The 13,625-nt window shown below is 42.4% G+C and overlaps 1 protein-coding gene across 10 annotated transcripts in view; it reads left to right on the top strand.

Annotated features, from left to right (window-relative positions):
* The window catches only part of PSEN1 (presenilin 1), an 87,275-nt gene that overhangs the window by 64,346 nt on the left and 9,304 nt on the right, over nucleotides 1-13,625 (top strand). For all 10 annotated transcript variants that reach the window (XM_047431602.1, XM_047431601.1, XM_047431600.1 and 7 more), the window contains exons 9-10: nucleotides 5,624-5,710; nucleotides 11,007-11,180. In XM_047431602.1, coding sequence (XP_047287558.1) covers nucleotides 5,624-5,710; nucleotides 11,007-11,180 — 261 coding nt within the window. The remainder of the gene's footprint in view (nucleotides 1-5,623; nucleotides 5,711-11,006; nucleotides 11,181-13,625) is intronic.

Genomic DNA, 13,625 nt, shown 5'->3' on the forward strand with positions numbered 1-13,625 from the left:
GAGAGAGGCTGGGCGTGGTGGCTAACACCTGTAATCCCAGCACTTTGGGAGGCCTAGGTGGGCGGATCACTTGAGGTCAGGAGTTTGAAACCAGCCTGGCCAACATGGTGAAACTCTGTCTTTACTAAAAATATAAAAATCAGCTGGGTGTGGTGGTGCACACTTGTAATCCCAGTTACTTGGGAGGCTGAGGTGGGAGGATCACTTGAACCCAGGAGGCGGAGGTTACAGTGAGCCATGATCGTGCCACTGCACTCCAGCCTGAGTGACAGCAAGGCTTCATCCCCACCCTCCCAAAAAAAGAGAATATCTTTTTGTTTGTTTGTTTGTTTGTTTGTTTGTTTGTGGCAGAGTCTTGCTGTGTCGCCCAGGCTGGAGTTCAGTGGGGCGATCTCGGCTCACTGCAAGCTCCGCCTCCTGGGTTCAGCCATTCTCCTGCCTCAGCCTCCCCAGCAGCTGGGACTACAGGCACACGCCGCCACGCCCGGCTAATTTTTGTATTTTTAGTAGCAACGGGGTTTCACCATGTTAGCCAGGATGGTCTCGATCTCCTGACCTTGTGATCCGCCCGCCTCGGCCTCCCAAAGTGCTGGGATTACAGGCGTGAGCCACCGCGCCTGGCCGAGAATATCATTTTTTATAAAGAAGTCAAAGGTAATGAGGACTAAGTAAAACCATACAGTATTTGCTGTCTAAGATGTCATTAGTGACATTGAAGAGAGCAGTTTCAGTAGAGTGATAGAACCAGAAGCAGTACTCCAAAGGGAAGGTGCGTATGTGTGCATGCATGTCTCTGTGTTTTGCCAGTGCTGGCAGTGGAAGTGATGGTGTAGGCAGAGAATGGGTGGTGAAGAAGGAGAGGTATAGTAAATGTCATGTACTACATCAAAGATTCCTGTCTCACAGGCAGAGCAGGTGGTGACCTGACAGGAGAACAGGTTTCAGGAAAGGTGTTTCAAGGAGAGGGAAGGTTCCATTTTATTTTATTTATTTATTTTTTTTGAAACAGAGTCTTGCTCTGTTGCTCGGGCTAGAGTGCAGTGGTGTGATCTTGGCTCACTGCAACCCCCGCCTCCCAAGTTCAAGCAATGGTCCTGTCTCAGCCTCCGGAGTAGCTGGGATTATAGGCACCCACCACCACATCCGGCTAATGTTTGTATTTTTAGTAGAGTTGGGGTTTCGCCACATTGGCCAGGCTGGCCTTGAACTCCCCACCTCAAGTGATCCACCTGCCTCGGCCTCCCAAAGTGCTGGGATTACAGACGTGAGCCACTGCACCCGACCTGTTTTATTTTATTTTTGAGGTAAGTCTTGCTCTGTTGCCCAGGCTGGAGTGCAGTGGCGCAATCTCAGCTCACTGCAACCTCCATCTCCTGGGTTCAGGCAATTCTCCTGCCTCAGCCTCCCGAGTAGTTGAGATTACAAGCATGCGCCACTATACCTGGCTAATTTTTTTTTTCCATATTTTTAGTTGAGCCACAGGTTGGGAGAAGGGAAAATACATTCTACTCAAAGTGAGTCCGTGGCAAAAGTGTGAGTACAGAGATGGGTGAGGAATTAGGACCAGACTTTCAGTCTGCAGCAACATTAAACATGTATGTTAATTTAATACTCAGAAAGAAGCATTTACTCTGTTTTAAAATATCTATCACATACTATATATATATATATATATATATATATATATATATATATATATATTTTTTTTTTTTTTTTTTTTTTTTTTTTTTGAGACAGTCTTGCTCTGTCACCCAGGCTGGAGTGCAGTAGCGTGATCTCGACTCACTGCAAGCTCCACCTCCCGGGTTCACGCCATTCTCCTGCCTCAGCCTCCCGAGTAGCTGGGACTCTAGGCGCCCGCCACCATGCCTGGCTAATTTTTTGTATTTTTAGTAGAGACGGGGTTTCACCGTGTTAGCCAGGATTGTCTCGATCTCTTGACCTCGTAATCTGCCCTCCTCGGCCTCCCAAAGTGCTGGGATTACAGGCGTGAGCCACCGTGCCCAGCCTATCATATATAATATTTTTAAAACTCAACGTCTGTGCTCGCTTTAGCAGCACATAATAGTAAAATTGGAATGATACAGATGATTTGCATGTATTTTTTTAAAAGTTCTCAAGTCTATTTAATAACCACAGAATATGAGACATTCTGAGATGTTTTAGAAACAGTTCAACATATGTGGGAAAATAGGAGTATAAACCCTTACCTCCTGTGTAGATCAGGTAGGTTCAAGATTGCATCTGTTCTTTTGTAATACTAAATGTCTGGTGAAGATTTGAGGATTTTATATAAATCATTGAGTTTGAGAGGTTTTTTTGTTTTTGTTTTTGAGATGGAGTTTCACTCTTGTTGCCCAGGCTGAAGTGCAATGGCACAATCTCGGCTCACTGCAACCTCCGCCTCCCAGGTTCAAGCGATTCTCCTGCCTCGGCCTCCTGAGTAGCTGGGATTACAGACGCCTGCCACCACGCCCAGCTAATTTTTTGTATTTTTGTATTTTTAGTAGAGAGAGGGTTTCACCATGTTGGCCAGGCTGGTCTCAAACTTGTGACCTCAGGTGATCTACCCGCCTCACCCTCCCAAAGTGCTGGGATTACAGGCATGAGCCACCGCACCTGGCCTTCGTTTTGTTTTTTCAACAGAATGTAAGAATTTTTTCTTACATTTTTCTTACATTTTTAACAGAATGTAAGAAAACCACAACGCAATGCCGATGAGTACTTTTTCCCTGAAGTGGATATAAGCATGAATATAAAAAGTTTTAAATCAGTCATCCTGGCTATTTGTTCTCTAAAAATCAATAAATAATTCTTTCATGCATTTTAATACTGTCTCCCAGTTAAGGGTATTCAGTTTGCAAAATGCTCTTACTGACAGGAAATGTATGAGCATTTTTGTTTTTTACTTCTGTCGTTTGACAGAAAAAATATACACCTACTCTTTGAGCTAATTTATTCTTACCTAGTGGTCATTAGTAGAAGTGGTTCACTCTGGGAGCTTAACTAGAAGGGAAACTAACAATTCCTTGAGGTAGATCATTTTATCTAAAGCTTTTTGATTTCATATCAGTTGGGGGCGGGTATATTATGTTAATTTTTAAATCTGCATATTTTCCAGCCAGGCATGACTATAATCCCAGGACTTTGGGAGGTAGAAGCAGGAGGATTGCTTGAGCCCAGGAATTCAAGACCACCCTAGACTACATTAAAAAACATATTTTTTTGTATTTATTTTTTATTTTATTTTTTTGAGACAGAGTTTCGCTCTCATTGCCCAGGCTGGAGTGCAATGGCACGATCTCGGCTCACCACAGCCTCCGCCTCCTGGATTCAAGCAATTCTCCTGCCTCAGCCTCCCGAGTCGCCGGGATTATAGACATGCACCACCACACCGGGCTAATTTTGTATTTTTAGTAGAGACAGGGTTTCTCCATGTTGGTCAGGCTGGTCTTGAACTCCTGACCTCAGGTGATCCACCCACCTCCGACTCCCAAAGTGCTGGGATTACAGGTGTGAGCCACCATGCCTGGCCTTTTTTTTTTTTTTTAATTTAAACGAAATCTGCTTATTTTCCTGTTGATGTAAGGTGTTTGTGTTAAGGTGAAATGAAAAGTGATTTTTAAAAAAATATTATTTTAGGACTATTTAACAAATATACTATTTATGATAATTAACATGGGGTTAGCAAACTACTGCTTGAAGCCAAATATGGCCCATGGCTTGTTTTTGTACAGCTTATAAGCTAAAAATGCTTTTTACATTTAAAAAAAAAAAAAAAGAACAAGGAAGAATATGTGACACACAAAACCTGAAATGTTTACTCCCTGGCCATTTACAGAAAAAGTTAGCTGGACATTGATTTTCATGTTACTATTAACTGCTAAAACAAAGGAGCTTGTAGCTATATTTTTTCATACTTGCATAAAGAAAGAAAACCTAATAAATCGCTGGTGGCTTCATTTCCAAAAGGCTATGGAAATCCATAAACAGGCTGGGTGCAGTGGCTCATGCCTGTAATCCTAGCACTTTGGGAGGCTGAGGCGGGAGGATTGCTTGAGCCCAGGAGTTTGAGTCTGGCCTGGGCAACGTAGTGAGACCCTGTTTTTAGAAAAAATGAAGATAAAAAACTAATCCATAAACCTCATACTTGGTGGTTGCCCTTCAGTTTTTCTTCTTTAGATCTGGATTTAGTTAAACAGTGTATTGCCTGCCTGGTTTCTGTTAACTTTTGATCATTTGGTTGGGTTATCCTATAATGAAACTTGGTTGACCTCAGAAATAACAAGGTGGTCGTTCAGCTTCTTTGATTGTGTGTTTCTTTCATAAGTTCTTCAAGAAGCCTGAGTATTAGAAACATGGATAAAATTATTGTGATAAAAAGCCAGAGAGACATAAATGTCAAGTATCTTGTTTAAAATTACTGTGACCAGGCCGGGCGTGGTGGCTCACGCCTGTAATCCCAGCACTTTGGGAGGCTGAGGCGGGCGGATCACGAGGTCAGGAGATCGAGACCATCCTGGCTAACACAGTGAAACCCCACCTCTACTAAAAAAAATACAAAAAATTAGCCAGGCATGGTGGCGGGCGCCTGTAGTCCCAGCTACTCGGGAGGCTGAGGCAGGAGAATGGCGTGAACCCAGGAGACGGAGCTTGCAGTGAGCCGAGATCATGCCACTGTACTCCAGCCTGGGTGACAGAGCAAGACTCTGTCTCAAAAAAAAAAAAAAAAAAAAAAATTACTGTGACCAGATTGGACTCAGCTTGCTGCTGGCATTTGGTTCCCACCATAACCTCATATGTCATGTGTTTGCTTATATGTACTTTTGTGTTATTGTTGGTGTATCTTCAGGATAAGTTCCAAAATGTAATATTGCTGGGTTAAAGGATTAATGCACATGTAGTTTTATTAGATGTTACCAAATTTCCCTCCAGTGGGGATTATACCATTTTTCATTCCTGCCTGAAATATATGAGAGAAGCACCATTTTAAAGTTTTCACAATGTCTCTGAACTAAAATGTGGTAGAGATGCACATGTGTATATCTAGATCTAGATTGATATATTGATATACATGTATTTTTGTAGAAGGGGCACAGAGGAGGCCTCTTGACTATCCCTATTATGTTTATTGCTTTTAACGTTTTTTCTCACGCCGGGTTTAAAACATGGTTTAGCATTATTGAACATTCTAAAAATGAGACATAATATGAAGGAAATTTACTCTGTGCATCTTTTGAATTATAATCACCATCTGAGGCTTTTGTGAGCTCCAGTTTGTCCTGGAATTTAGAACATTCAACTAGTCCAGCTATTGTTTCAGTGGAATCTTGCTGGCCTGAACAGTTTTCCTTCTGGTTCCTTTTCAGGGACTAAAAATGATGAAGAGTTTTGTGATAGCAGGTGCAGTTTGAGTACTACAGTAAACATTCAGTTTCAGAACTTCTTCTCTTACCTGCTAAAACCAAAGAGAACCTTTTTTTTATTTTTACTTCTGATTGTTGAACAGTCTTAAGGCAGCATTAGGAAGACTGGCGATTTGTGTGGAGAAATGATGGCTTGTTGTTGTCTATGCATACTTTGTGTGTCCAGTGCTTACCTGGAATTTTGTCTTTCCCAACAGCAACAATGGTGTGGTTGGTGAATATGGCAGAAGGAGACCCGGAAGCTCAAAGGAGAGTATCCAAAAATTCCAAGTATAATGCAGAAAGTAGGTAACTTTTATTAGATAATATCTTGATTTTTCAGGGTCACTGTTATAAGCTAACAGTATAGCAATGTTTTTATCGTCTTTCTTTGGTCATAGACTCCTTTGAGAATCTCTTGAGAACTATGATAATGCCCAGTAAATACACAGATAAGTATTTAAGGAGTTCAGATACTCAAAACCCAACAATACAGTCAAAGCATCCTAGGTTAAGACACCTCCCATTAAATACAGAATACCAGCATGGAAAGGTTCAGGCTGAGGTTATGATTTTGTTTTTGTTTTTTGTTTGTTTTTTATAAGTCATGATTTTAAAAAGAAAAAATAAACTCTCTCCAAACATGTAAAAGTAAGAATCTCCTAAAAGAAACAAAAAAGAAACAGACAATAAAGGAAAAATAAGTAAACAAAAAAAGCAAAATATAAACAACATAAAAATGAGAACCTCTTGTCTAACATGGCCAGAATAACTGAAATATGATTTGAGATGTGCTGATGTGTATACTGAGAAGATCAAATATTCTAGGTGGATATGACTTTTTAGAAGAGGATAAGAATGACTTAGGATGAGCTGGGTGCAGTGATGTGTGCCTGTAGTCCCAGCTACATGGCCAAGGCAAGAGGATCACTTGAGCTAAGGAGTTCCGGATTACCCTGGGCAACTTATACCTTACCTCAAAAATAATAATAATAATGAATAATAATAATGACTTAGGATAAGAGAGTGAAAGGCCCTCTAAGGATACTACAGAACATATTAAGGAGAACACAAGTTAGAAGTTGTTATTAGATGGAGTTGAGGGGGAGCTTTCATTCAGTTTTCTGGAATGGAGGCTACCTTCCCACACACACTAAAAAAAAAAAGAAAGGGTTGAGGAATAACAGCACAATATAAATAGTCTAAAAAAAGGGCTAACTTTTATGAGGAATCTGAAAAACAACAGGCACAGTAAATATTGGTGAGGAAAAAAAGGCCTTAATTGAGTTGCTGTTTGTCAGGAAAGGGAGAGTTTATGTTTTATAAAGCCAGGAAATCTACAGAGTTAGCATTTAGGCAACTGCAAGGAAGATACTTTCAACCAGGAATTCCTATTTGGAACTCAGAGATGTGAGTCTTTATTATACAGTAAGCAAGGCAGCAGAACAAGGTCATGTTAGACTCTCACGGGATCCTTAGGGTGTGACTTTGCTAGCCAGAAACCTCTGTGGCTGGTGGCACCTTTTCCTGAGATTTGCTCAGGCCCACTGGGCTCATTCCACCTACTCAGCCTAGCTGGCTATGCTTGGCTTTCTCTACCAGCTGGACCCCATGCCTGCCAAAGGCAAGCCAGGCATGGAGCAGCGAGGAGTGCATGAGCAAGTGAGTGCAGGGTCCAGCCACTGCACACAGCCAGGCATGCTGGCTGCAGCAGGGCAGGCAGCCTCAGGTACTAGCTCCCTGCTGCAGCTAGACCAGGCATTACCTAAGCAGCTTTGACTACAGGCCACTACCACTAGTAAACCTGATAGAAAAGTAAGAAATATACTGGAAAGAATTGCCACAAGCCTGGCTCTTGTGTTAACCTTGTGTTAACCTGGGGAACACAGGGGCACCCAGAAGCTTGGAGATGCCAGGAACTGCAGAACCCCAAAGAGGGGGGTCATAGCCCTGGCTTAGGGAACTCCTGAGTCTGGACTCCCCGAAGGGCCACATCTCTTCACTCCTCTCTTCTCTCCTTCTCGCCACCTGCAACGTGGCAAGTGGGGGGCACGTTTCAGCCCTGTTTGTCTTACGGTTCTTTCAATCCTGCCATTCAATGGGTCCCAAGTTCTTGTCCTGCATCCAGGAAGAATGAAGTACGTGGACAGCTGGAGGGAGAGCAAGATGAAAAGGTGCTTTATTGAGCAACAGTACAGCTCTCAGGAGACCCTATCTGCAGGCAGGTCGTCCCATTGTCTCTGCAGCTCTCAGTGGAGAGGAGACCTGGAGTGGGTAGCTCCTGTCTGCAGGCAGGTCATCCTGATGTCTGTAATCCTCAGTGGAGAGGAGACCCGGAATGGGTATCTCCTATCCACAAGCAGGTCATCCCATCATCTCTGCAGCCCTCAGTGGAGAGGAGACCCGGAGTGGGTAGCTTCTTTCTGCAGGCAGGTTGTCCCTTCATCTGCCCAAGTCTGACTGAGTCTGGGGTTTTTATGGGCTTCAGAGGGGAGGAAGTACATGCTGATGGGTCCATGGGTGGCCATGAGCAGGCCCAGAAAATGCACCATAAGTTCTCACTGTGGTCTGTGGAACTGGGAGCTTGGCCTCCAGGCTTCAGGCTTTCCCTGACTTGAGGTGGTGCTTCACCAGGGAACTTCCCCTTTCCGCCTAGGAGCCTGTCTGCCTCCTGCTGCCATCAACCTGCTGTCTATAGCTCCCATGGCACCCAGGCTGTTCATGCCAAAGGGTGCCTGCAGGCCCACGGTAAGCTGCCTTCAGCCCCTCCTCAGTCTCCCTCCCATGCTTGTCAGCACCCAAAGTCCAGAGGGGGCCAAGGTGGCAGGGGGCTGGCATGTCAGTGCTGCCCCAAGCGCCCGCACACCCGGCCAGGTCATGACAGCACCCAGCCTCAGCCACAACTTTGCTCTGAAATCGGAGCCTGCAGACGCAAGGGGCTTCCTGGACCCCTGAGAGCACAGGGATGCCCAGGTCTACAGCCACAGCTGGGAAGCTGCAGCTGTGGGAGTGCGGGACTTCTGCCCCACCAACTCAGAAGGGGGCAGGACTCCCGCCTGTTCCTGGCTCCTGCCAGCTCACAGAGCATGCTGCCCCAGCTGCACCTCCCCTGCTGCAGCTGCCATCTTTGCAGCAGCCACTCCAGATGGGCCGCTGCTGCCATCAAGACCACTAGTAAACCTGATAGAAAAGTAAGAAATATACTGGAAAGAATTGCCACAAGCCTGGCTCTTGTGTTAACCTGTGTTAAGCTAAAGAAAATCAAATGATTGTCTGTGAGCATGTAGGTATATATGTATGTGAGTGAGTGATACAACAGAATTTCATTCATTTTACAGATGTTGACTGAGCACCTGACTATGTGCTAGGCCCTGGGGATATAGCACTGAACAAGATTTCCCCTGCCCTTGTGGAGCTTATAGTCTATTTGGAGAGATAGATGGTCAACAAATTATTACATAAATAATTCATACAGTTGTGATAGGTACTACAAAGAAGACGTATAAGTTGCTATGAAAGTTTATAATAGGGGAATTTTACGTATCCTGGAAAGTCAAGGGGTGCTTCCCTGAGGAAGTGGTAATAGGGGACGGCCCGCTGAAGGATGGAGGAAGAGCTTTCCAAGAGAGGGACAACATGAGCAAGGGCTTTGAAATGAGAAGGCTGGATGAACTGCAGGCTTCCTCAGTGAGAATGCTGCTGGTATTTTGGGGGGCACAGTTCTTTGTGGGACTTTCCCTCATATTGCAAGATATTTAACATCCCTGGCCCCTCACCCACTAAATGCCAATAATGGCTTTAAGGCTTTGCAATAATCAAAAACTCCTCCATCCTAGTTATTTCCAAACACTCCCCGGAAGGGAGGTGCTATCCCTAGTTGAAAAATCACTGTGTTAACGGAACTAGAAGTTACATTGGAACAAAAGGGCATAGGGCTCCAAGAGGGATATCTGTGTAAGGAAAAAACAAACAAAAGAACTGAGAGATTACCTGATGTGGTTGAGCTCTGTCAGAGCATTTCAGGATAAATTAGTCATAGATAATAATATAAAATTCATCAGTGGAAAAAAATGAGGCAGTTTTCCAAAGAAAACAAAAACTTGCTCAAAAAAGCAAATGTAATTATAGTATATTCTGGCTATAGCAAAGTAGTTTAGTTGTGAATATTATTTGCATAGTGAGAATATAAAGCTGAATTTAATATAAGGTTATGGCACTGGGAAGACAGGAAGAGTTACATTTGCGTGCACTAAAGGATGAGACCTAATGCTTTATCTTCTCTATAGGAGGTGAATAAGTACCTCAAATTAAAACATCAAGTTATGGCACAATGAGCATGCTACTTATAATTAATTATGGAGGTAAATACCAAAAGGGATGGCTAAAAGAGTTTAAGGTAGGAATGAGTATCAGAAGTGAGGAGGGAGGGGGTAGAAAAGGGACTGCTGTTTTCATTTATAAATCTTATTCTTATATTATTTCATAAACTCCAAACCAGAGAAGATTCAGGTTTTTGGAGATCTGGATAATAAAAAGAATACAAAACTATCAATACAAAATTGTGAGGGCTCTCCCAGAGGAAGCCATGCAAGGAAGGGCCCTGAAGCTTACAAGCTTTACTTATTCATGGCAAATCTACTTCTGCTCTGAACATGTATTACTTTTATAAAAAATGAAGGAAGAATAAAAGTACTTTGAACTTCACTTATATATTTTAATTATTTTTAATGTATGGAAGTTTTTTAAGACTATCATGCTCACCATTTTCAATGAGATTGATAGTCATTATAATGAAATGACTGGCCCATAAAGACATTCACTCCCCGCTCCTTTCCCAATCCACCCTCCAGAATGAAGCCACTTTTATAATTTTGTCACCAAATCCAGGGATGAGTGCCAACAGTTAGGAAGCTTTCAGTTGCAAAAGATAAAAAGCCCAACTCAGTTGCCTTAAACAAAGAAGAAATTTATTCTTTCACGTGACAGGAAGGCCTGAGGTGTAGGCATTTGAAATTTGTAGGGTTGGTTAATTTGGTGGCTCAGGGATGTTTTCAAGTAGCCCAACTTCCTACTCTACCATCACTAGTTTATAGGCTTGGTCTTCAGCCCACTGCTCTTCGTGGTCATGACAGCTGTAGTTCTAGGCATCATGTCTAGATAAGGCAACATTCAGGGGTAGAAGGGGACTGTTTATTTTTTCCTTTAGTCTCTCTTAAAGAGTGAGAAAAATTTTCCCAGGAATCCCGGTGGACTTTGCTTCACCACTCATAGGTTCATACCAAGTTACAACCCCACAACCTTAGAGCTTTTGTTAGGAAGAGGCTTGGTGGGATTACCGTGCTTGGCTTGGCTTGGTCAGGATTCACCACCAGAGTCATGTGGGAGGGGGTGGGAACCCAAACAATTCAGGATTCTGCCCTCAGGAAATAAAGGAGAAAATAGCTGTTGGATAAACTACCAGCAGGCACTGCTACAGCCCATGCTTTGTGGTTTAAGGGCCAGCTAGTTACAATGACAGCTAGTTACTGTTTCCATGTAATTTTCTTAAAGGTATTAAATTTTTCTAAATATTAGAGCTGTAACTTCCACTTTCTCTTGAAGGCACAGAAAGGGAGTCACAAGACACTGTTGCAGAGAATGATGATGGCGGGTTCAGTGAGGAATGGGAAGCCCAGAGGGACAGTCATCTAGGGCCTCATCGCTCTACACCTGAGTCACGAGCTGCTGTCCAGGAACTTTCCAGCAGTATCCTCGCTGGTGAAGACCCAGAGGAAAGTATGTGCATTTCTCTATGTTGCAAAGTCATGGATTCCTTTAGGTAGCTACATTATCAACCTTTTTGAGAATAAAATGAATTGAGAGTGTTACAGTCTAATTCTATATCACATGTAACTTTTATTTGGATATATCAGTAATAGTGCTTTTTTTTTTTTTTTTTTTTTTTTTTTTTTTTTTTTTTTTTGAGACAGAGTCTCGCTCTGTCGCCAGGTTGGAGTGCAATGGTGCGATCTTGGCTCACTGCAAGCTCCACCTCCCGGGTTCAAGTGATTCTCCTGCCTCAGCCTCCCAAGTAGCTGGGACTACAGGCGTGCGCCACCACGCCTGGATAATTTTTGTATTTTTAGTAGAGATGGGGTTTCACCATCTTGGGCAGGCTGGTCTTGAACTCCTGACATCATGATCTGCCTGCCTTAGCCTCCCAAAGTGCTGGGATTACAGGCGTGAGCCACTGTACCTGGCCTCCCTTCAGACTTTTTAAGTTGGCATTTTACAGCCTGACCTTTTGGCATTTATTTTATAAAGTAAAAGATTTGTTTTTTTAATTGTTCCAGTAAGCCTTCATGGCCGTAATACATTTGTCTACAAAAATTTTATTAATATGTCTCACTCTGCTGTAGAGAGATCTGTGGATTTGCATGATACAACCTTGTACATTATTATTCCTTTTGTTGACAAGTGCTATATTTTATTTTAAAGAAAATCAAAGGGATTTAGGATATTGGCAGAAATGCAAGTATTTCTTCAGTGTCTAAGATGTGTTGCCACTTGATGGATTTAAGTTAACACTTAGGGCTTCTTAGGAACATTATCAGCCACTAAAGCCCTTTGGTTAGGGCTCAGTCATCTCTTCAGTTAGTCTTAGAGATGTGGTTCATTGAATAAGACTTTAGCATATTTTCCAACCAAGTTATTTTTGGTTGTCTTGTTTTTGCAAGAGTGAAACTTGATTAAAACATTACAACAAGAATATTAAGTAGTTTTAAGGAAACAAACACCTAGGTTCCTTAGCATCTTTAATCATTAGTCACTAATTATTATGACCTTGACATATCCATCAGTTTGAGGAGAACACTTTTTACACCTTGTCCTCAGTTTTTTAACTGAGTCAGAACTTTCACTGGGCATGTTCATGACTTTACTGCTTGGCTGAGTTTTCCAGATATCAAAGCCCAGCTGCAGCCTGTGACTTTCACACTCCTGGAAAAGTAGACGTATCTGCCTGCTCTTACAGCAGGCTTTAGCTTGCCTTTGCTGGGACTTTGTTCTGCCCTCAGTTACCACAGTAATTAGGTTGCCTCTTCTACTTTCCTCTTTTCTCACAGGCACCAGGAGCCAGAGGAAATAACATAATAGTTGTTGACCAGAGCAGCAGCATAATTCTTTCATGACTGCCTTTTCTAATTTGACGATTCCCTCTCCTGAGAGGGCTCTTTGTGTCCTCCTCCTCTTCGTCTCCAACTTTTAAAAAAAAAAAAGTGAAACTATCAAGTATTGCTCCTGCTAACTTCAGATCAGTATTTTCTTTCTCTGAAGCCAATGCAAAGTAATAACGGACGTGCTTCATCATCTTAGCATTCAGCACACGTGTCACCATCTCTGATGGTGTGAGCATGTTAAACCAGACTTGTGGGTACTTACCAAAAGGTTCAGTTGACACTATAGGTCAGTTGCTAAAAGGCACAAATGTCTTCTAAAGCAATCTGTTAAAAGTCAACATTTAACATTTAATTAGAAAACTGATCAAAGGATCTGAATGTTTAGTTCTCCCAAGAAAATGTAAAAATGATCTGTAAACACATAAAAAGATACTCAGCATCATTAGCCATCAAGGAAATGCAAATCAAAACCACTTCATACTCACTAGATTGGCTATAATAAAAAAGATAGACAATAACAGGTGTTGGTGAGGATGCGAAGAAACTGGAATCCTCATACACTGCTGGTGGGAATGTAAAATAGTATAGTGATTTTGGAAAACAGTTCGGTAGTTCTTTGAAAGATTAAATATGACCCGGTAATTCTACTCCTAGGTATATACTCAAGAGAATTTTAAAACATATGTCAACACAAAGACACATATACAATGGTCATAGTAATATTGTTCATAACAGGTAAAAACAGAAACAACCCACATGTCTATTAACTGATAAGTGGATAATAAATGTGGTATATTCATACAATGGAATATTACTTGGTTATAAAAAGAAACAATCTATCATTAGTACACTTAGGATGAGCTTGTTACTGGCATGTTGGCTGTGGGAAGTATATCTTGAAATTCACTAAAAGACCAACTATTGCTGGGCGCAGTGGCTCAAGCACCTGTAATCCCAGCACTTTGGAAGGCCAAGGCAGGCGGACCACCTGAGATCAGGAGTTCGAGACCAGCCCAACCAACATGGAGAAACCCCACCTCTACTAAAAATACAAAATTAGCCC

The sequence above is a fragment of the Homo sapiens genome, chromosome 14 (assembly GCF_000001405.40).
Source record: "Homo sapiens chromosome 14, GRCh38.p14 Primary Assembly".
NCBI classification, from domain to species: domain Eukaryota; kingdom Metazoa; phylum Chordata; class Mammalia; order Primates; family Hominidae; genus Homo; species Homo sapiens.